Below are 23077 nucleotides of genomic sequence, written 5' to 3' on the forward strand. Positions count from 1 at the left end.
ACACACCTGCCTCGTGTGGGCCTGGGCCGCTTGCTATTACTAATAAAACAGCAGCAACCACAGGACAGCTTCACTTCCGGAAACTCCCTCTGTCACGTGCTTTGCATGAATCCTCACACCGTCTCACTAGGGGCGCTCTCCCCGTTTCACCAGTGACTTGGTGACAACCAGCCTTGCTCACGAAGCGTCAGCCGTATCCTTTCTGTGTGCAGTGGGGTGTGGGTTGTGTGGAGCCGCGGTGTCTGTGGAATTCACAGGCTGGGGCCGGAATCCATGGCCCCCGTCGCCGCTGCCACCCCCCAGGTGCTGGGGTGACCTGATCCAGGGTTGGGGTCTAAGCTGCTGGGGGGTTGGAGTCTTGGGCTCTGGCCCACGTCCGCCTCTGATTGGTTCTACCACCTGAGCCGGTCACTGACCCTCCATGGGCCTCAGCTTACCCTATGGTAAAGTGAGAACTAGGGGGTCAGACTCCTTGATCACCAAGATCTCTGACCACAGCCAAGGCTAAGGGAAGCGCAGGAAAACGTGGGGCTCGTCCAAATTCCCAGCCTCTCTCTGCCCCCTGGTGGACGCCGGCAGCCTAGCACCCGGGGGGAGATGACCCCGACACTGTGTGACCTCTGCCAAGGCACCCATCCCTCTGAGCCCCAGTTCCCACCGGTTACATAGGAATGATTATAATACCCACCTCTTTGGGCAATTGTGAGGAGGCAAGGAGATAATACATGCAAAGTGCTTGGATGGGATGGGTACTAGCCACTCAACAGAAGGCAGATCCTAGAATGGGGATGGCAAGTCCTGTCATCAGTGAAGAATGTAATGACTGCAAGCTTAGATGACATGTCTGTTACTGGAAACCAGAGTTGTTTACTTAAGCTGTAAATGAACTCATAGTCCCTGGGATAATTATCTCACCTCTGGATAAATAAACTCAACAGCCTTATGTATTTTATTAATTTTTCTTAAAAAAAAGCTTAAAATATTTTTCCTTTGATTTGTTCTCTTTCTTTGGTTTCTGACTTTATTATGTCCTTTCTTTCTGCTTAGGCATTTGTTTTATTGCTCTTTTTTCACCAACTCAAACTGAATGGTCACCTTAACAGTTTTATTGAGGTATAATTTACACACCATAAAATTCACCTGCTTTAAGGATACTATTCAATGATTTTTAGTACAGTTACAAAGTTATGCAACCATCATCAAAACCCAATTTTAGAATATTTCAATCACCCAAAAAAGAAATATCACACCCATTTACAGTTTATCCCCTTTCCTGCCCCCAGCCTTAGGCAACCACTAATCTACTTTATATATAGATTTGCCTTTCCTGGACATTTCACAAAAATTGATTTACGCAATGAATGAGTAAAACCGTCTTCCAAAGGAAGAGGGCCTCCCAAGGCAGGTGTGGGCATGGGCTTGCCACAATATGTGGCATTTTGTGCACTTAATGTTATTGAGGATTAATCTATGTTGTAACATGTGGCGGTATTTTGCTCCTTTTCATTGGCATTCTCTTGGGGGCTTGTTTATTTTTACATGTATTGTTTTCCACTAAATGTACTTAAATATATAAATTTGTCTGTAAGTGCTGCTAAAACCCAGCTAAGCTGTGCCCCACCAACTTTAATGTAGTTTTTCCACTATTCAGAAGTAAATATTTCTCACATTTCTTTATGACGTCCTTCTCCACCGAAAGTTACCTACTGTAAACTAAAAATAAAATCCTAAGTCCCCCACCAACTGAATGGATGCCCCCCTTGGCCAAGGGGACACCAGAAAAAACTTAGGAATGGAGTTCCAGCCATGGCAGGACAGGAGGTCCCCTTTGTAGTTTAGACACAACAGCTGACCAGCATTGATGTTAAAATAGAGAGCATAAGACTGACAGAACAGACTTTTGTGGCAATAAGATACAAAATTATAGGCTGGGCGCGGTGGCTCACGCCTGTAATCCCAGCACTTTGGGGAGGCTGAGGCGGGCAGATCACTTGAGGTCAGGAGTTTGAGACCAGCCTGGCCAACATGGCAAAACCCTGTCTCTACTAAAAATACAAAAATTAGCCGGGCATGGTAGTGCACATCTGTAATCCCAGCTACTTGGGAGGCTGAGGCAGGAAGATCACTTGAACCTGGGAGGCGAAGGTTGCGGTGAGCCAAGATCACGCCATTGCACTCCAGCCTGGGCAACAGAGTGAGATTCCATCTAAAAAAAAAAAAAAAAAAAGATACAGGCCAGGCCAGGCAAGGGTTAAGTCACCCACCCCTACACTTAAAGAATAAACTAAGTTCTAACAGCCACAAGGTTTTTCGTTTTCTCTAGCAGAACAATAAGCACTGGCCTTGAGATAAGCAATATGAAAATAATTGCAGCACATCCACTAACTGACCACTGTTTCCATAAGCCATAACTACAGCTTGGACTGGACAAGAGACTGATATCAATAATTTTCTCCTGATAGTAAGACCACCGACCACGGACTGGTTCTGGCCAGTTTACAGAGGCTGTGCACTTGAGCGCTTTTGTGTCCTGAAAAGACCTTTTGACATCTAGGGCCTAATTGTAATATATTTATTTATTTATTATGATTATTATTTTTGAGATGGAGTCTCGCTGTTGCCCAGGCTGGAGTGCAGTGGCACAATCTCGCCTCACTACAACCTTTGCCTCCTGGGTTCAAGCAATTCTCATGCCTCAGCCTCCTGAGTAGCTGGGATTACAGATGCGTGCCACCACACCCAGCTAGTTTTTGTATTTTTAATAGAGACAGGGTTTTGCCATGTTAGCCAGGCTGGCCTCAAACTCCCGACCTCAAGTGATCTACCTGCCTCAGCCTCCCCAAAGTACTGGGATTACAGGCGTGAGCCACTGCGCCTGGCCTCATAATTGTAATACATTTAAATGTTAAGTGTCCACTCCAGCCGGGCGCGGTGGCTCACGCCTGTAATCCCAGCACTTTGGGAGGCCGAGGCGGGTGGATCACCTGAGGTCAGGAGTTTGAGACCAGCCTGGCCAACATGGTGAAACTCCATCTCTACTAATAATACAAAAATTAGCTGGGCGTGGTAGTGCACATCTGTAATCCCAGCTACTTGAGAGGCTGAGGCAGGAGAATCACTTGAACCCGGGAGGCCGAGGTTGCAGTGAGCCGAGATCGCGCCATTGCACGCCAACCTGGGCAAGGGCCTGTCTCAAAAAAAAAAAAAAAAAAGTGTCCACTCCAGGGTGAACATGAGTCTCCAAAATTTTAATATAAACAAAACGTGAAATCTTGTTCTTCCACACATTCCCCACACAAGTGCTGCCAAGATCATCTGAAAAGTTTTAATCTACAAAGAAAGGTCCAGGACCATTGTCCATGGCTCTGCCCCTCCTACCCCCGGCTTTTCAGTTCCTTATCTCCCCATCACAATGCCGTCCTTCCCCACTTCACCGTGCCCCGATGTCCCTGACAACCCTCTGCAACTAGTCAAAGCCCCGGACTACCGTTGGGCCCACAAATTCATGTCTTTCCTGCTTGCTTGCTCCACCAATCAAGCCACTTCTCTTTCTAGGCCTCCTCAAGACCTCCTTCAATTTCTGCCTATCCATCAACTCATTTCTGCCTCCATTTTCCTCTTTAACCAGCTTAAATGTCATGTTCCATCATTTCAATCACTTCCTTGCAAACATCCTAAAATCCTTGGCTCTCCCTTTGTCCTCAGCACCAACCTATCAAAACTCCAAACATGTTCAGGCATGGTGGCTCACGCCTGTAATCCCAGCACCGAGGCCAACGCGGGAGGATCACTTGAACTCAGGAGTTCGAGGCCGCCTGAGCAACACAAAGAGACCTTGACTGTACTGGGGAAAAAAAAAATAGCCAGGTATAGTGGTGTGAACCTGTAGTCCCAGCTACTCAGGAGGCTGAGGTGGGAGGATTTCTGGAGCCCTGGAGATCGAGGCTGCAGTGAGCTATGATTGCACCACTGCATTCCAGCCTGGACAACAGAGCGAGACTGTTTCTATTTTTTTTTTTTTTTTTTTGAGACGGGGTCTTGCTCTGTCACCCAGACTGGAATGCAGTGGTGCGATTTCGGTTCACTGCAAGCTCCGCCTCCCAGGTTCACGCCATTCTCCTGCCTCAGCCTCCGGAGTAGCTGGGACTACAGGCACCCGCCACCTCGCCCGGCTAATTTTTTGTATTTTTATTACAGACGGGGTTTCACTGCATTAGCCAGGATGCTCTCGATCTCCTGACCTCATGATCCGCCCGCCTCGGCCTCCCAAAGTGCTGGGATTACAGGCATGAGCAACCGTGCCCAGCCTGACTCTGTTTCAAGAAACAAAACAAAACAAACCCTCCAAACTCTAGGTGAACCTAACTATGCCTCTCCTTTATGCTTACAGCCAGGCCAGGAAGCATTTTTTAAGAACTACTGGGGGTGTAAGTAACACTATAAATTCAGTCACCAACCTCAATGCCGTTAGACAATTCCAGTGCATTTTGATGTTTAGTTGCACTGTCCTCAGACTTCAAGCTTCCCTTCTAGCTCCTCGCTCTCAGCAGATCACCTAATGTTATAGCTGCCTAATCCTCCTTTCCTTCTCACTGCTGAAAGATGTTCCTTCTGTGCTCAGAATTCCATCCCTCCAGGCTTCTCTGGAACTTTGCACTATTCATTGGCAGGAGATGAGACTGTGTGGGGGGAGAGGAGTTAGGAGATGGTTGCAGGGGTACTTGTTTTCAAATGCAAATAAGGTTATACTTCTCCCCAACAAGCAATCCTTTGATACCTTTCCATTGCTCTGAAGATTTTTTTTTTTTTTAAATGGGGTCTTGCTCTGTTGCCTGGAGTGCAACAGAGTGCTAGAGTGCGGTGGTGCAATCTTGGGTCACTGCAACCTCTGCCTCCCGGGTTTAAGCAATTCTTCTGCCGCACCCTCCTGAGTTGCTGAGACTACAGGCACACGTCACCACACCCAGTTAATTTTTGTATTTTTAGGAGAGACCGGGTTTCACCATGTTGGCCAGGCTGGCCTCGAACTCTTAACCTCAAGTGATCTGCCTGCTTTTGGCTCCCAAAGTGCTGGGATTACAGGCCTGAGTCACCACGCCCAGCTTGAGGTGGGGGTTCTACTCCAGATGGGTTGCTCAGGGAAGGTCCTCTGAGGAGGTGGCATCACCTGAGTCCTGAATCACAGGCATGCACCAGCACACTCAGCTAATTTTTAAACTTTTTGTAGATATGAGGTCTCACTCTATTGCCCAGTCTGGTCTCAAACCCTAGGCTCAAGCGATCCTCCTGCCTCAGCCTCCCAAAGTGCTGGGATTATAGGTGTGAGTCATTGTGCCTGGCCAAGATGATTAATTTGAATGTCATATTTAATTAATTTGCTTAATTGTAGTAATCTTTTTTTACCTGAACCCATAGAATTTTGCAGGCACCATCTGGCCAAGTTTCAGGAGTCAATAATACCTTGGAAAAATTTAAAAGTTCATTATATGGTTTACTTTTGTTATCAAATAACTACATTTTTTGTAAAATTTATTAGACAATCCAATAATTTTTCTTCCAGATTTAATACTACTCTAGTGTTCTCTGTTTTCTCCTCCAGATCCATTATTTATTCTTCTCCATCTTGTTCTGTGTTCCTGGAAGCCAACCTTTATAAGCTGCAGGAAATGGATTTCCTACTCTCCACCTTCTGATTGGGCTTGACCAACGGGGAGCACTGGCAGAAGACAAGCATGGGAGGAAAAAGAGATCAGGGTATTCATTTCCCCAGATCCCTCCCTGTCCTCTACTTAAAGGTCATAAGTCCATCCAGGTGTCATCTCTTATGTAGGATTCTAGCGACATCTTCTCCCCTTGTTCCTTTAGGCTTAGGAGTAATAACACTTTTCTGTTCTTGCTAGTCCTGAGGATAAGTGTTTTGTCACCTCTTGTTGATTTCCCTGACTTCAAATACCAAACACTATTTTTTTGCTATTTTTGAACTTTATGTAAGTAGAATCATACAGTATATATTTTGGGGGGTAAGGTTTTTTTTGTTTTGTTTTACTCAATAATAGGTTTGTGAGCATCATCCATGCTATTGCATAAAACAGTAGTTTGTTTTCATTGCTGCATAGTATTTTTCACTTATACATTGTACTATTAATAAATATTTGAGGGTTTTTTTTCCCAAAAGTGCATATGTGTCTCTTGGCTGTACACCTAAGAATAAAACTTTGGGTGACAGGATATGTATACCTTCAACTTTAGTAAACAATACCAAACTGATTTCTAAATGCTAGTACGCATTTACAATTCTACCTGAAATGTATGAGTTACCATCATCTGTAGGATCTATAGTGATTTCTCCCTTTTCATTTCTGACATTTCTTTTTTTGTGTCCCTTTTTCCCTCTTTCCTTTCCTTTTCTTTCTTTCCTTCCTTCCTTTCTTCTTTCTTTTTTATTGAGAGTCTTGCTCTGTCACCCAAGCTAGAGCGCAGTGGTGTGGTCATGACTCACCACAGCCTCGACTTCCCAAGCTTAAGCAATCCTCCCACCTCAGCCTCCTGGGCAGCTGGGACTACAGGCATGTGCCACCACACCTGGCTAATTTTTTGACCCATTATTGAGAAGTATGTTAAAATTCCCATTGTGGTTTTGAATTTGTCTATTTCTTTTTTGAGTTCTGTCAGTTTTTGCTTTAAGTATTTTGAGGCTATGTTGTTGGAGAATCTAAGTTTAGAGTTATTTTATCTTTTTTTAATTTTACTTTTTTTAGAGATGATGTCTCCCTGCCTAGGCTGATTTGGTCTTATTTCTGAGCTCAAGGGATCGTCCCACCTCAGCCTCTGGAGTAGCTGGAACTACAGCACGTGCTACCATGCTTGGCTTAGAATTAGTTCATCTTTTGATGGGTTGAACTTTTTTTAATGAAGTGTTTCTATTTATTTATTTATTTATTTATTTATTTATTTATTTATTTATTTTTGAGAGGGAGTCTAGCTCTGTCGCCCAGGCTGGAGTGCAGTGGCATGATCTCAGCTCACTGCAACCTCCACCTCCCAGGTTCAAGCGATTCTTCTGCCTCAGCCTCCTGAGTAGCTGGGATTACAGGTGCCCACCACCACACCCAGCTAATTTTTGTATTTTTAGCAGAGACAGGGTTTCACTGTGTTGGCTGGGCTGACCTCGTGATCCACCCGCCTCGGCCTCCCAAAGTGCTGGGATTACAACCGTGAGCCACCTCGCCCGGCAGTCTCTCTTTATTTCTTTTTTTTTTTTTTGAGGGGGACGGAGTCTTGCTCTGTCGCCCAGGCTGGAGTGCAGTGGCGCAATCTCGGCTCACTGCAGGCTCCGCCTTCCGGGTTCATGCCATTCTCCTGCCTCAGCCTCCGGAGTAGCTGGGACTACAGGCACCCGCCACCTCGCCTGGCTAACTTTTTTGTATTTTTAGTAGAGACAGGGGTTTCACTGTGTTAGCCAGGATGGTCTCAATCTCCTGACCTCATGATCCGCTGGCCTCGGCCTCCCAAAGTGCTGGGATTACAGGTGTGAGCCACTGCGCCCAGCTCTCTTTATTTCTAATAATTATTTTTGCCTTAAAGTCTACTTTTTCTGATATTAATATAGTTATAACAGCATTGTTTGGTTGGTATTTGCATAATATATCTTTTTTATTGATTCACTTTCTTATAAACTTTTTAGTTTGAAATAATTTCAAACTTGCAGAAGTTTTGAAATAGTTCTAAGACCATCCATACACTCTTCCCTTAGATTACTCATTTGCCTTATTCTCTCTATCTATCCCTTATATATAATATATATTATATTAGTATATGTAATTTTTCCAACCCATTTGAAAGTAAATTGTATATATTATGCCCCATTACTCTTAATACTTCAGTATGTATTTCAAAAAAAATTATACTCTCCTACATTACCCTTACAAAATCAGAACCAGAAAATTAATACTGATAAAATACTACTATTTAACCATATAAACTAATGCATTAACTCCATTCAAATTACACCAATTGGCTGGGCGTGGTGACTTATGCTTGTAAGCCCAGCACTTTGGGAGGCCAAGGCAGGCAGATCACTTGAGCCTAGGAGTTCAAGACCAACCTGGGAGACATGGTAAAACCTTGTCTCTACAAAGAATACAGAAAAATTAGCTGGACGTGGTGGTGCACACCTGTAGTCCCAGCTACTTGGGAGGCTGAGATGGGAGGATCGCTTGAGCCCAGGAAGCAGAGGTTGCAGTAAGCCGAGATCACGCCACTGCACTCAAGCCTGGGTGACAGAGTGAGTTCCTGTCTCAAAAAAACCTAAAAAGCCTCTCCCTCTCCCCTCTCCCCTCTGCCCTCTCCCCTCTCCCTCGTCCCTCGTCTCCCTCGTCTCCCTCATCTCCCTCGTCTCCCTCTCCCTCTCCCTCTCCCTCTCCCCGGTCTCCCTCTGATGCCACCAAAGTTGTGAAAGCCGAGGCTGGACTGTACTGCCGCCATCTCGGCTCACTGCAACCTCCCTGCCTGATTCTCCTGCCTCAGCCTGCAGAGTGCCTGGGATTGCAGGCGCGCGCCGCCACACCTGACTGGTTCTTGCATTTTTTGGTGGAGACGGGGTTTCACCGTGTTGGCCGGGCTGGTCTCCAGCTCCTGACCGCGAGTGATCTGCCTGCCTCGGCCTCCCGAGGGGCCGGGATTGCAGACGGAGTCTCGCTCACTCAGTGCTCCATGTTGCCCAGGCTGGAGTGCAGTGGCGTGATCTCGGCTAGCTACAACCTCCACCTCCCAGCCGCCTGCCTTGGCCTCCCAAAGTGCCGAGATTGCAGCCTCTGCCTGGCCGCCACCCCGTCTGGGAAGTGAGGAGCGCCTCTGCCCGGCCGTGACCCCGTCTGGGAACTGAGGAGTGTCTCTGCCCGACCGCCACCCCATCTGGGAGGTGAGGAGCGTCTCTGCCCGGCCGCCCCGTCTGAGAAGTGAGGAGCCCCTCCACCCGGCAGCCGCCCTGTCTGGGAAGTGAGGAGCCCCTCCGCCCGGCAGCCACCCCGTCTGCCAAGTGAGGAGCCCCTCCGCCCGGCAGCTGCCCCGTCCAGGAGGTGGGGGGCACCTACGCCCGGCCACTGCCCCGTCTGGGAGGTGGGGGGCGCCTCTGCCCGGCCGCCACCCCGTCTGGGAGGTGTACCCAACAGCTCATTGAGAACGGGCCATGATGATGATGACGGTTTTGTCGAATAGAAAAGGGGGAAATGTGGGGAAAAGAAAGAGAGATCAGATTGTTACTGTGTCTGTGTAGAAAGAAGTAGATATTGGAGACTCCATTTTGTTCTGTACTAAGAAAAATTCTTCTGCCTTGGGATGCTGTTAATCTATAACCTTACCCCCAACCCCGTGCTCTCTGAAACATGTGCTGTGTCCACTCAGGGTTAAATGGATTAAGGGCGGTGCAAGATGTGCTTTGTTAAACAGATGCTTGAAGGCAGCATGCTCCTTAAGAGTCATCACCACTCCCTAATCTCAAGTACCCAGGGACACAAACACTGCGGAAGGCCGCAGGGTCCTCTGTCTAGGAAAACCAGAGACCCTTGTTCACATGTTTATCTGCTGACCTTCCCTCCACTATTGTCCTATGACCCTGCCAAATCCCCCTCTGCGAGTAACACCCAAGAATGATCAATAAATACCAAAAAAATAAAAATAAAAATAAAAAATAAAATAAATAAATAAATAAAAATTTAAAAAAACTAAAAAGCAAGCAACAACAACAACAAATTACACTAATTGTCCCCCAAATTACCTTTACAGGCCCAGCATCCAATTCAGTCGCCTTCAAGGAGTCTCTTCAGTCTAATTTATTCTAGAACAATTCTTCAGGCTTCCCTTCTCTGGCCAAGATTTTTGAAAAATACAGGTCAATGACTTTGTAGGTTGTCTTCAGTTTGGATTTGTCTGCTGTGTCCTCATGATTTATGCATCTCTGGCAGGAATACCACAGAAACGATGCGACATTCTTCTCAGTGTACCATATTAGGAGTCACACAATGTCAACTTGTCCCATTACTGCTGATGTTAATGTTTACCACTTGGCTAAGATGATGTCTGCCAGGTTTCTCCACTGGAAAGTTAACAGTATTTAGTACGTGTTAAGTGATGAGTAATGAATAAATATTTCATAGGGAGATGTTCTGAGAGTATAAAAATATCCTGTTCCATATCAAAGTTGCTTCACCCAGTTTCAACCCAAATCAATTACTACTACGATGGTTGCCAAGTGAAGATTTTCCCTTTTTTTATTTTTATTTTTATTTTTTTAAGACAGAGTCTCACTCTGTTGCCCAGGCTGGAGTGCAGTAGCACAATCTCGGCTCACTGCAACCTCTGCCTCCTGGGTTCAAGCAATCTTCCTGCCTCAGCCTCCGCAGTAGCTGGGATTACATACACCCACCACCACAGCCAGCTAATTTTTGTATTTTTACTAGAGATGGGGTTTCACCATATTGGTCAGGCTGGTCTCGAACTCCTGACCTCAGGTGACCCACCCACCTCGGCCTCCAAAAGTGCTGGGATTACAGGTGTGAACCACTGCTCTAGGCCAAGGTTTTTCTAATTTCAACATTTTTTTACATTTATTAGTTAATATTCTTATTCTATGACGAAACAGAGCTTTCCATTCTCCCCAATGTATTTATTCATTTATCTATTTATATCATATAAACACGTGGATTCCTATTTTTCTCAATGAACTACAATCCATTACTTGATACCTATTTTGAAAGTCATACTATCTTAGATTTGGCCAGTGGAAGATGCTTCAAGTTGGCAGCTGCGCCCTTTAGTGTGTCTTCATAATTCTTTGAGCATTTATTTATTTCCTGGCACAGCAAGGTATTCTAGGTTCATCTTGTACATTTCTTGCTCCAGCCCACAAGGAGCCCTAGTCCAGCACTGAGAATGCCATCTATAATGGGCGCCAAAGATGTTCAGTGCTGCCAGAGTGCCACTGATTTCAGGCAGTCTCAGCAGACAGAACAAGGAACTACGTCAATGTGTGTGTTCAGACACATACACATCTAGATCTATTTTTTGTTGTTGTTGAGATGGAGTCTTGCTGTGTTGCCCAGGCTGGAGTGCAGTGGCGTGATCTTGGCTCACTGCAGCCTCTGCCTCCTGGGTTCCAGTGATTCTCCTGCCTCAGCCTCCTGGGTAACTGGGATTACAGGCATCCACCACCATGCCCGGCTAATTTTTGTATTTTTAGTAGAGACGGGGTTTCACCATGTTGGCCAGGCTGGTCTCAAAATCCTGGCCTCAGGTGATCCACCCGCCTCGGCCTCCCAAAGTGCTGGGGTTACAGGTGTGAGCCACTGCAGCCAGCCATTTTCATTGTTTTTTAGTCGTTCTTACATTTTTGAGCTTCCATCTGGGGTTATTTTCTTTCCGACAGAAAAGCACCCTATGTTATTTCCTTCAATATGGGGCTGCTGGAAAGAACTATCTTTTTAATTTTTTGTCTGAAAAAGCCTTATGTTACCTTAATTTTTAAAGGATGTTTTTGCTGAGTATAGAGTTCTAGACAGGCAGCGATTTTCTTTAAGCCCTTTGAGTACAGTTGGCCTTCTCTATTGGGATTCTGCATCTACGGATTCAACCAACTATGGATCAAAAATATTTGGGGAGGCCAGGCACAGTGGTTCACACCTGTAATGCCAACACTTTGGTAGGCCAAGGTGGGCAGATCCCCTGAGGTCAGGAGTTCGAGACCAGCCTGGCCAACATGGTGAAACCTTGTCACTACTAAAACTACAAAAATTAGCTGTGGGTGGTGGCGGGCGCCTGTAATCCCAGCTACTCGGGAGACAGAGGCAGGAGAATTGCTTGAACCAGGGAGGTGGAGGTTGCAGTGAACCAAGATCGCACCGCTGCACTCCAGCCTGGGCGACAGAGCAAGATTCCACCTCAAAATAAATAAATAAATAAAAAAGTCGGGGAAAAATAATTTTTAAAAATAACAATACAACAATAAAAAATAACATAAATAAAAAACAGAATACAATCTGGGTGTAGTGGTTCATGCCTATAATCCCAGCACTCTGGGAGGCTGAGGTAGAGGATGATTTGAGCCCAGGAGTTTGAGACCAGCCTGGGCAACATATCAAGATTTTGGTATCCATGGATGATCAAGTCCCTTATATAAAATTTGTTCTGAAACAAATCCCCCACACATACTGAGGGACAACTGCATATTATTCAGTGTCTCCTGGCTTGCATTATTTTTGTTGAAAAGTCAACTGTTAGTCTAGTCTTCCTTTGAAGGTAAAACTGCCCTTTTCTCTGACTGCTTTTAAGATTTCATCCAGCCAGGCGTGGTGGCTCATGCCTGTAATCTCAGCACTTTGGGAGGCTGAGGCAGGTGGATGGCTGTGCCCAGGAGTTCAAGATCAGCCTGGGCAACATGTTGAAAACCTGTCTGTACAAAACATACACAAAAATTAGCCGGGTGTGGAACACAAAAAAAATTAGCCAGGCGTGGCAGCATGTGCCTGTAGTCCCAGCTACTCAGGAGGTTGAGGTGGGAGGATCACATGAGTCTGGGAGGTGGAGGCTGCAGTGAGCCACGGCTGTACCACTGCACTCCAGCCTGGGCAACAGAGTGAGACCCTGTATCAAAAAAGAAAAAATTGTCTTTGGTTTTTGGCCATTTTACTCTGATGTGCATAGGTATACTTTTCTTTTAATCCTGTTATAATTCATAAGGCTTCTTTCCTTCCTTCCTTCCTTCCTTCCTTCTTTCTTTCCTTTCTTCTTTCTTTTTCTTTTTGATAGAGTTTCGCTCTGTTGCCCAGGCTGGAGTGCAGTGGAGAGACCTTGGTTCACTGCAGCCTCCACCTCCCGGGTTCAAACGATTCTCGTGCCTCAGCCTCCTGAGTAGCTGGGACCATAGGCACGTGCCACCACGCCTGGCTAATTTTTATATTTTTAGTAGAGACAGGGTTTCACCATATTGCCCAGGGCGGTCTCAAACTCCTGGACTCAAGTGATCCGACTGGCTCGGCCTCCCAAAGTGCTAGGATTACAGGCATGAGCCACCATGCCCAGCAATTTTTGTTGTTGTTGTTGTTGTTTTTTTTTTTTTGAGATAGGGTCTCACTCCATTGACCAGGATGGAGTGCAGTGGCTCAAACACCGGCTCACTGCAGCATCTCCCTCCTGGGCTCAAGTGATCTTCTTGCCTCAGCCTCTGAAGTAACTGGAACCACATGCATGTCCACCACGGGTGGCTAACTTATTTATATTTATTTATTTATTTTTTTATTTTTTGAGATGGAGTCTCACTCTGTTGCCCAGGCTCGAGTGCAGTGGCGCGATTTCGGCTCACTGCAAGCTCTGCCTCCCATTCTTCCCGTCATTGGTTCTCCCATTCTTCTCCCATTGGTTCACACCATTCTTCTGCCTCAGCCTCCCGAGTAGCTGGGACTACAGGCGCCCGCCACCAAGCCCGGCTAATTTTTTTGTATTTTTAGTAGAGACGGGGTTTCACCATGTTAGCCGGTATGGTCTCGATCTCCTGACCTCGTGTTCCGCCCTCCTCAGCCTCCCAAAGTGCTGGGATTACAGGTGTGAGCCACTGCACCAGCCTCCAAAAGTCTTCTTGTTTAACTGTGGTTTGATGATTTTTACCTGTTTTGGAAAATTCTTGGCCGTGCTCTTCAACTTATCACTTCTGCCTCATTTCTGTCCTCCACTTGTATCCTTGGAATACAAGTATATGTGAGTTAGACCTCGCAGAATCTCTATGTCTCTGTTAGGAAAGGTAGTCTGCCATGGGTGCTGAGTGTTCCTGTCAGTCCTTGCTAAGTGTGCCAAACTTCAAGGCTTATCATCCTGTAACAGTGAGCAGGTCCTGTAACTATTCACATAGGCCACTAAGTAGATCAGGGCACCTGAGCATGACTGCCATGCAACTGCCCATCCCTGGAGTAGGGGGACTCGTGTGTTCACTGCTTGCTGAAAAGATGCCAGGTCAGTTCTTCAGCTGTGCTGCAACCCACTGTCTGTACAGCCACCATATGGACCCGCAACACCACCCCAAGGGACTTGGAGGCATACGTTTGTATGTTGGGGAGAGTGGGCCATGGAATATATATATATGTGTGTGTATATATATATGTGTGTGTGTGTGTGTATATATATATATGTGTGTGTGTATATATATAGTGTGTATATATATATGTGTGTATATATATGTGTGTGTATATATATGTGTGTGTGTGTGTGTGTGTGTGTGTGTGTGTGTATATATATATATATATATATATATTTTTAGATGGAGTCTCGCTCTGTCGCCCAGGCTGGACAGGCTGGAGTGCAGTGTCAGGATCTCGGCTCACCGCAACCTCCACCTCCCGGGTTCAAGCAATTCTCCTGTCTCAGCCTCCCGAGTAGCTGGGACTACAGGCCATTATGCCCAGCTAATTTTTGTATTTTTAGTAGAGACGGGGTTTCACCTTGTTGGTCAGGCTGGTCTCAAACTCCTGACCCCAAGTGGTCCACCTGCCTCGGCCTCCCAAAGTGCTGGGATTACAGGTGTGAGCCACTGCGCCCGGCCCCCACCAATTCTTTTTTTTTTTTTTGAGATGGAGTCTTGCTCTCTTGCCCAGGCTGGGTGCAATGGCTAAATCTTGGTTCACTGCAACCTCTGCCTCCCAGGTTCAAGGGACTTGGAGGCATCCCTGCCTCCTGCCTCAGCCTTCCGAGTAGCTGGGATTACAGGCATGCGCCACCACACCCGGCTAATTTTTTTGTATTTATAGTAGAGACAGGGATTCACCATGTTGGCCAGGCTGGTCTCGAACTCCTGACCTCAAGTGATCTGCCCGCCTTAGCTTCCCACAGTGCTGGGATTACAGGCGTGAGCCACTACACCCTACCGGAATATCTTTTTATTAGGGAAGAGGGTTGCTTTCTGGCTCACCTATAATCTTCTATAATTATTGACAATGACACTGCCTCTTGGATCATGTTTCCCTTGCTTGGTCCCTGGGTGAAGAGGACAGTCCCAGCGAGTGTATACATGGACTCCTGGTTCCCTATAATACTATGAGTTATGCTCCTTATCAACAGGATACCATGCTCTAGAGACAATGATTAGAAGTCTATCCTTTTGGCTGGGCGCCGTGACTCACGCCTGTAATCCCAGCACTTTGAGAGGCCGAGGCAGGCGGATCACGAGGTCAAGAGATCGAGACCATCCAGGCCAACGTGGTGAAACCCCGTCTCTACTAAAAATAAAAAAATTAGCTGAGCATGGTGGTGCGTGCCTGTAGTCCCCGCTACTCAGGAGGCTGAGGCAGAAGAATCCCTTGAACCTGGGAGGCGAAAGTTGCAGTGAGCCGAGATCACGCCACTGCACTCCAGCCTGGCGACAGAGTGAGACTGTCTCAAAAAAAAAAAAAAAAAGTCTCTCCTTTCCTTTAGCTACCACAGCCAATGAGATGGCACAACTCCTAGGTCAGCAGATCAGACTCTTATTTAGAGTGAGACCCGTCTTCAAAAAAACAAACAAAAAACTCAAAAACTAGTGCAGCATGCTCTGATATTCTGCCCAGTCATCAGCCCTGTGTGCATAAGGTTATTCATCACAGGATGGTTTGTGATAGCGTCAGTCTGGAAACAATTCAAATGTCTATTACTAAGGAAGGGACTGGTGAAATTAACTACAGAACATCCTCACCATGGAATACTAGGCAGCTGACAAACGAACAAACTCCACACACACACAAAACAAGAAAGCTCTTTATGGACTGACATAAGCTACAAAATACATTGTTAAATGAAAAAGGCAAGATGCAGAACAGAGTATACTCTCCTTTGAGTAAAAGGGTGGAATAACATTTGATACTTGCTTTATTTATATGAAATAGACACCTAGGAAACTAATAAAATTGACTTATAGTGGATGGATGAGGTGGACAATGGAATAAAGATAGAAGTAGAAGTAGCAGGGAGACTTTGTTTATTTTGAGACAAGGGCTCACTGTTGCCCAGGCTGGAGTGTGGTGACACGATTGTGGCTCTCTACAGTCTTGACCTCCCAGGGTCCAGCGATCCTTCCACCTCAGCCTCCTGAGTAGTTGGGACTACAGGCACATGCCACCACACCTGGCTAATTTTTTGCTCATTTTTTAGAGACAAGGTCTCACTATATTGCCCAGGCTGGTCTTGAACTCATGGACTCAAGTAATCCTCCCGCCTTGGCCTCCGAAATTATTAGGATTACAGGTGTCAGCCACAGTGCCCAGCTGAGACTTCTTAAGGGATATCAATTCTTTGAAGAAATAGTTGATTTCTTGAATGACGCGAATATATTACTTGGCCAAAATATTAAGTAGAAGAAAAAATGTGTTGAGTTAATGAAGGCTCTGTGTAACCCTAAGGAACTTATTTTCCCAATTCCCACCTCAGTTTCCCCAAATAAACTGGAGGACCACTGAGGGCTCCCCCTCTTTGGCTCCCAGACTTTGGGTACAGGCCCTTAGGACTCCAGTCTGTATCTCTGACCCCAGCCCTGACAGAGGTTCAGAAGGGGTCTGCCTCATTTCGTGTGCCTCCCTCCTCCTAAATCACAGTCAGGGCTGTCAGCACTTTAGTCCCTGTCCTGCTCCCTGGAGCCACTGAGCCAGGTGGAGAACACCTGGTCCTGCAGCGGATGGAGAGAGAGAGATCACATGGAGGAGGCTAACTCAGCTCTGTGCTGTGCCTGGAGGTCGCGTCTGTACTCACTGCTCAGAGCACACTACTGCCAGGGTTGGGTCTGCAGTGGGGCCTTGGAGCTCTCTTTATATCTCACCCCTCACCTTCTAAATGGCAGGTTATGATTTCCTAATATGCTGTGACAGAGCTGAACCCTCCATCCCAGCTGCAGGCACCTGCCTCTGTGGAGTGGCTACTCTAGGCTAGGTACTTCAGCATATTCTCTCTTTTCATCCTCCTGCAGTCCAATTTGGCAGATAAGGAAACTGAGGCCTAGGGAGGTTCTGGGCTCCTGCAGAGCTAGGGGAGGAGGAAGGAAGCAAAGACTAATCAGGCATCCCTTAATTGGACTTGCCTGGGAGGCAGGCACTGGGCCTGAGTAGAGGGTGCTGGGAGCTGAGTGTGGTCAGAATACAGGGAACAGAAAGGCTCAGGGTGACCAAGGCTGAATGGGGGTGGGGCAGGGTCCCTGAGGACAGGGCTGAAGCACTTGGACAACTGACTACAGTGGGGCATTTTCAGGTCTGGGCTTGTGGAGTGGACAGCTGAGGTCCCTGAGTGGGGGCACAGGATGGCTGGAGGGGTTGGGGAGAAGGTGGTGAACCTTGGAGGAATCCAGGAGGGAGATGATGTGACGTCATCTAGGGATGCAGGGGGTGCGAGAGGGGCAAGAAGCAGCAGCACTTGGTGACTGATGGGATATAGAGGTTAGGGAGAAGGCGGGGTGAGAGTGATGACTAACATTTATTGGACACTTTGTATGTGCGTGGCTCAGTAGCAAGTGTTTCCCATTTGTCACAGCACTTAATCCTCAAAACATCCTAATAGTGTTGGTTCTATTGTCACCCCCATCTAACAGATGGGGACTGTGACTCAGCGGTGAGAGTCTTAGCAGAGGTCACAAGCCAGTCCTCAAGTCCCTGGGAACCACTTGGTTCCCACCGTCATCTCCCCCGAGATGCTAGGCTGTTTGTGTCCACCAGGGGGCAGAGAGAGGCCGGGAATTTGAACGGGACCCACGTTTTCCTGCGCTTCCCTTAGCCTTGGCTGTGGTCAGAGATCTTGGTGATCAAGGAGTCTGACCCCCTAGTTCTCACTTTACCATAGGGTAAGCTGAGGCCCATGGAGGGACAGTGACCAGCTCAGGTGGTAGAACCAATCAGAGGCGGACGTGGGCCAGAGCCCAAGACTCCAACCCCCCAGCAGCTTAGACCCCAACCCTGGATCAGGTCACCCCAGCACCTGGGGGGTGGCAGCGGCGACGGGGGCCATGGATTCCGGCCCCAGCCTGTGAATTCCACAGACACCGCGGCTCCACACAACCCACACCCCACTGCACACAGAAAGGATACGGCTGACGCTTCGTGAGCGATGCTGGTTGTCACCAAGTCACTGGTGAAACTGGGAGAGCGCCCCTGGTGAGACGGTGTGAGGATTCATGCAAAGCACGTGACAGAGGGAGTTTCAGGAAGTGAAGCTGTCCTGTGTTGCTGCTGTTTTATTAGTAACAGCAAGCTGCCCAGGCCCACACGAGGCAGGTGTGTCTCATGAGTGTTCTACGGGAGAGGAAGTGAGGCTTAGAGGCCCAAGCCAGGAGTGGAGGAGCTGCGGCTACGGGCTACGGTGCCCATGCCCACACCTGCCTCAGGAGCGCCCTCTTCCTTTGGATGATTCTTTTTTATAGACAGGGTCTTGCTCTGTCGCCCAAGCTGGAGTGCGGTGGTGCAATCATGGCTCCCTGCAGACTTGACCTCTTGGGCTCAGCTTCCCAAGTATCTGGACTACAAGCATGCACCACCACACCTGGCTGATTTTTAATTTTTTTGTAGAGATAGGGTCTTGCTATGTTGCCCAGGCTGGTCTTGAACTCCTGGACTCAAGTCCTCCTGCCTTGGCCTCCCAAAGTGCTGGGATTACAGGCGTGAGCCACCATGCCCACCCAGCCTGGATGATTCTTTTAGTCCGTCATTCATCCCATGAGCATTTGTGCCACATGTGCTCTGAGCCTGGTTCTGTGGTGGGCACTGGTGCCACCCTGGGCCCTGAGGTGCATGAGGGGGCGGAACAAATGGAAATTGAGGCAGGCTAGGCCTAGAGCCTGTGGGCTTCCTGGGACTGGGCACTGAGCAGTGAGCTCGGGAGACAGAAGGCTGAGCCCAAGGCTGTGGGCTTGTGCCACCTCTGCCTAACCAGGGTTTGTTTACCTTCCACCCAGAATCACATAATGGAGGTCCGTTCCTCCCCTGCACAGCATCCTGCCCTCAGGATAGCCTCAGGGCTACCCACACAGATGGGAGCTGCCTCATCTGGGGCCACTCCAGGGCCGGGGGTTCTGCTGGGAAGAAGGCTCCTACATCCTTGCCCCGCTGTCTGAAGCTGGTTTGGGCCAGTGAAGAGGAGCCTTCCCTGGCCGAACTCCTTTTGTCAGCCCAGGGAATATCCAGGTCAGGGGGTGGGGTTTGGCCTGGGGATCAGGGGCCCAGGGTCATGTTTGGGATTATCCTAACAGGCATTGCACCTGCATAAGACAGTGCAGGATGGGTCTGCACAAGACCATATAGAGGAGAGGTGAGCGGGGTTGAAGGCCAGTCCACACCCTGCTCCACTTGGCACTGCTGGGGGCTGGAGCAGGGCTGTATCAGCCTAGAGGAAACAGGTTCTTATTTCTGAGTCATCATGAGCACCACATAGGTTGGCAGTGCCCTGATGGCAACAGTCCCTAAAGCGCAGGGGTGGAGCAAGGCTTGATGTTGGCCTGGAGCTCCAGGGCCAGTTGCTATTTGAATGAAAGAGTTGCAGCAAGCTGGTCTTTTCCCCAAACCCATGGCCCTCAGGTGTTGCTCAGGAGAAGGAGGGATGGAATTGGCCATGGGCTACCACCTCAGGAGGCTGGACCTCTCAGAGGAGCTTCTAGTGCTTTGCTTAAGATATGTCCGCCAAGACCCATGCCAACACTCTTGGAGTCTCAGGGGCTCCTGACTTTTCATTCTCCCAGGCCCCAGTCCAGACTGACTCTCCCAAACGCCCATTGTGGATTATGTCCAAATTCCTTTGCAGGGCCATTTCTTGTTCACCACAGACACACCTGTGTCCAGAGTGCACATAAGACAAGCCACTGCTCTGAGGGGGAGCTCCTGGCTGGGGGGATTCCAGGACCTAGATCTGTGAAGCCACCTGCCTCGGACATCATGGAGGAGGATGGCAGTGTTCGGAGGCTCAGGAAGCGCAGCACCGTGCCCGGGTGGCAGTTGGCCTGGAGTCTATGCAATGTGGGGTGAACCAGGACCACTCTCTGGGACGTCCACCCAGGAGAGCCAGGAAGGTGTTCCAGGCTGGGCCCCAAGGCCTCTCTGTAGCCTCCTGAGGCCATGTAAGGACCCAACCTGTCCTGGCCCAGAAGTCAGATTCCTCAGCCAAGGAGTTGCAGGGACAAGGAGAGGTGGCCAGTGTGGTGGGAGGACGCCTTTGTTGGTGGGAGGACGCCTTTGTTGGTGGGAGGACGCCTTTGTTGGTGGGAAGACGCCTTTGTTGGTGGGAGGATGCCTTTGTTGGTGGGAGGACGCCTTTGTTGGTGGGAGGATGCCTTTGTTGTAGGTATTTTCTCAACGGTGGGGCTGGGCTGCCTGCCAGGTGCCAGGGCGCGGCTCTGGCCTCCCGCTGCACAACCCACTTTGCCGCCAAGCCCTGTACCCGGCCCAGCAGCTCCTTCCCGCGCTTCCGCTGCCAGTCCCGGGAAAGTGAGAGGCAGGATGTGTTGGGCGGGCTGAGCAGGCTGGTTCCCAGCCCACCTGGCCTCATGCTTCTGGCAAGGATCCTGAGCCTAGACAGGAGAAGGGACTCACTCAGGGCCCTCTTGGTGCTTGGCATTTAGAACTGCATTCTTCCAATTAAAAAATATGTACAAACTTTTGCTCAATAAAATGTGATAAAACTGCAATGCTGAATATGAGCTCATACACTTATTAGCTGTATGTCCACGAACAAGTTACTACTTATCTTCTCTTTAGCTCCATCTCTTTATTGAAAAGCGAGGACAAAAGAAGAAGAAAATGTAAAAATGGGGATGATAGTTGTCCTACCTCATGGGACTATTACGAGGATTTAATGGGTCGTTACATGTAAAGCTCTCAGAACAGTCTTGCACGTGGTGAGGGCTATGGAAATGTCTGCTGTGATCTTGAGCGTGATGGTGACCATCAGTGGGAACAATGCTAACCAAGAATCAGTGGCACAGAACAGAAATTCACTCAGGCAAGCTCCAGCTGAGAGCTTTTAATCACGTCTTCAGAGATGGCACATGGAACCCGAGGGTAGGGGCAGCCAGACCTCAAGAGGCCTGAGAACCAGGATCTGAAGAATGAGAAGCCCGGAAGCTCCTCTCTGTCTCTGGGCCTCACTGTCTCCTATCCACCCTCTTTCTGCACATCTGCTTCACTCTTATACCTCTGAGCAGCACGACTTCCCCCAGTTCTCTCATGGCCAAACATGGCTGGCTCTCAGGTCTCAGGTCAAGTAACCAGAGGAAGCACACTGGCTTCTCTGAATCCCAACAGCAAGATTGTGGGACAGGGAACCCATTGCCCAATTTGGGTCATGCACCCACAGCCCATGGCTGAGGGGCCGCCAGGGACCAGTCCCGTGGTGCCGAGGGAGAGCCTATAGGCTGGGCAGGCATCCCCAGGGGCATCTACTCCAATGGTGCTCTGGGCAGCAAAGAAACCAGTGTGCTAGTCCTGGTGTCACTGCAGGAGATCCCCAGTGTCGCTGGGCCCTTTTCCTCTTCTGTTCACTCTGTGATTGCTATAGTCCCTTGTCACAGCACTCAGGGTGTCTTAAAATTGTTTATGTGTCTGTTTTCCTCACTAGACTGTGATTTTCATTCATTCTCTCAATACAGTAATCACCAAGTACCAGCCATGTGCTCAGGATACAGAGATGAATCCAACTCAGTGCTTGCTGCCTCCGCAGAGGCTCAGTCTGGCTTGGCATGTGGTCATGTGAAACGGATCGTCTCCATGTCTGGTTTCTCCCAAACTCAGGTGCTAGAGACTTTGTTTCCCACAGCATTGACAGTGTCAAGATCCCACTCTTCATGAAGTTTACAAGACTCCTGAGCTGTTATGAAAAGTGAGCGTCCAGGCCAGGCGCAGTGGCTCATGCCTGTAATCCCAGCACTTTGGGATGCTGAGGCGGGTGAGGTCAGGAGTTCAAGGACCTCACCTGAGGTCAGGAGTTCAAGACCAGCCTGGTCAACATAGAGAAACCCTGTCTCTACTAAAAATACAAAAAATAGCTGGGCATAGTGGCGTGCACCTGTAATCCCAGCTACTTGGATGCTGAGGCAGGAGAATCCTTGAACCTGGGAGGTGGAGATTGCAGTGAGCCAAGATGGTGCCATCACACTCCAGCCTGGTTGACAGAACGAGACTCTGTCTCAAAAAAAGAAAAGGAAAGAAAAAGAAGGGAAGGGGAGGGGAGGGGAGGGGGAAGAAAGAAAAGAGAAGAGAAGAAAGGAAAAGAAAAGAAAAGAAAAGAAAAGAAAAAGTGAGTGTCCACAGGAAATGGTTCTGAAGGGGCCAGGCATGGGCGGGCATCACCTCCGCTGGGTGATTGAAGGGCAACAGTGTGCAGCTGACAAAAGAAAAACTTGGCTGGTGCCTATAATCCCAACGCTTTGGGAGGCCAAGGCAGGCGGATCATCTGAGGCCAGGAGTTTGAGACCAGCCTGGCCAACATGGTGAAATCCCATCTCTACTTAAAAAAAAAAAAAGAAAAAAAAATTTAGCTGGGCGAGGTGGTGCGTGCCTGTAATCCCAGCTGCTTGGGAGACTGAGGCAGAAGAATCACTTGAACCTGGGAGGCAGAGGTTGCAGTGAGCTGAGATCGTGCCACTGCACTCCAGCCTGGGTGACAGAGCAAGACTCGGGCTCAAAAAAAAAAAAAAAAAGAAAAAGAAAAAGAAAAATTTCCCAGCAAGTGAGGAGCAGGACGGTGACTGTGGCTCCTCAGCTCGGGTGACGGCTGTGCTAACTGGAGGCCACGGATGCTTACTGGTATTGCTCGGCTGCTGTAACGCACCGGCCCTGCTGCTGGGCATCTCTTGAGGCTGACTTTGCTCCTCTCCACATCTTTGCTTCCATTTCAGGCCACTCTGATCTCTTCCAAAATCAACTCGTGTCCCTATTCCAAGCATGAGCTATCCCTAACGAGCCTCCCTGTGAGCAGGATGGGGCAGACACGCCTCTAGGCTCCTTCCAGCTCACTTCTAAGGCATTAACTTTACACTCTGCCTCCTTCAGGGTCATTCTTTGGGTTCTCAAAATCCTTTCTCTCCATAAAGCTGAGCACT

At 48.4% G+C, this 23077-nt stretch overlaps 2 long non-coding RNA genes across 10 annotated transcripts, besides 5 other annotated features; one reads left to right on the top strand and one right to left on the bottom strand.

Moving 5' to 3' along the window:
• Window positions 18-247: an enhancer, noted in NCBI's record as "active region_819". NCBI's record gives its function as "activates an Ori minimal core promoter by ATAC-STARR-seq in GM12878 lymphoblastoid cells {active_cell/tissue: GM12878}" and the evidence as "EXISTENCE:reporter gene assay evidence [ECO:0000049][PMID:35858748]".
• On the top strand, window positions 163-10157 carry LOC130932201 (uncharacterized). 9 transcript variants are annotated; one of them, NR_186713.1, is made up of 5 exons: window positions 163-303; window positions 1048-1113; window positions 5600-5754; window positions 8724-8920; window positions 9784-10157. It is a non-coding gene; the product is annotated as an uncharacterized LOC130932201 (long non-coding RNA). The 9 variants fall into 9 exon arrangements; NR_186716.1 differs by lacking the exon at window positions 1048-1113 and adding an exon at window positions 3706-3867; NR_186717.1 differs by having other exon boundaries at window positions 163-193; window positions 974-1113.
• Window positions 215-747: an enhancer, noted in NCBI's record as "H3K4me1 hESC enhancer chr1:40265165-40265697 (GRCh37/hg19 assembly coordinates)". NCBI's record gives its function as "activates a minimal SCP1, AML or CMV promoter by ChIP-STARR-seq in primed H9 embryonic stem cells {active_cell/tissue: H9 hESC(primed)}" and the evidence as "EXISTENCE:reporter gene assay evidence [ECO:0000049][PMID:30033119]".
• On the bottom strand, window positions 2136-18182 carry LINC02811 (long intergenic non-protein coding RNA 2811). The gene is made up of 4 exons (NR_186710.1): window positions 17971-18182; window positions 13657-13728; window positions 9776-10093; window positions 2136-2206 (listed from the first exon to the last, which is right to left on the bottom strand). It is a non-coding gene; the product is annotated as a long intergenic non-protein coding RNA 2811 (long non-coding RNA).
• Window positions 17465-18460: an enhancer, noted in NCBI's record as "H3K4me1 hESC enhancer chr1:40282415-40283410 (GRCh37/hg19 assembly coordinates)". NCBI's record gives its function as "activates a minimal SCP1, AML or CMV promoter by ChIP-STARR-seq in naive H9 embryonic stem cells {active_cell/tissue: H9 hESC(naive)}" and the evidence as "EXISTENCE:reporter gene assay evidence [ECO:0000049][PMID:30033119]".
• Window positions 17465-18478: a biological region, named in NCBI's record as "H3K4me1 hESC enhancer GRCh37_chr1:40282415-40283410".
• Window positions 18309-18478: an enhancer, noted in NCBI's record as "active region_820". NCBI's record gives its function as "activates an Ori minimal core promoter by ATAC-STARR-seq in GM12878 lymphoblastoid cells {active_cell/tissue: GM12878}" and the evidence as "EXISTENCE:reporter gene assay evidence [ECO:0000049][PMID:35858748]".

This window comes from Homo sapiens, chromosome 1, assembly GCF_000001405.40.
Source record: "Homo sapiens chromosome 1, GRCh38.p14 Primary Assembly".
NCBI classification, from domain to species: Eukaryota; Metazoa; Chordata; class Mammalia; order Primates; family Hominidae; genus Homo; species Homo sapiens.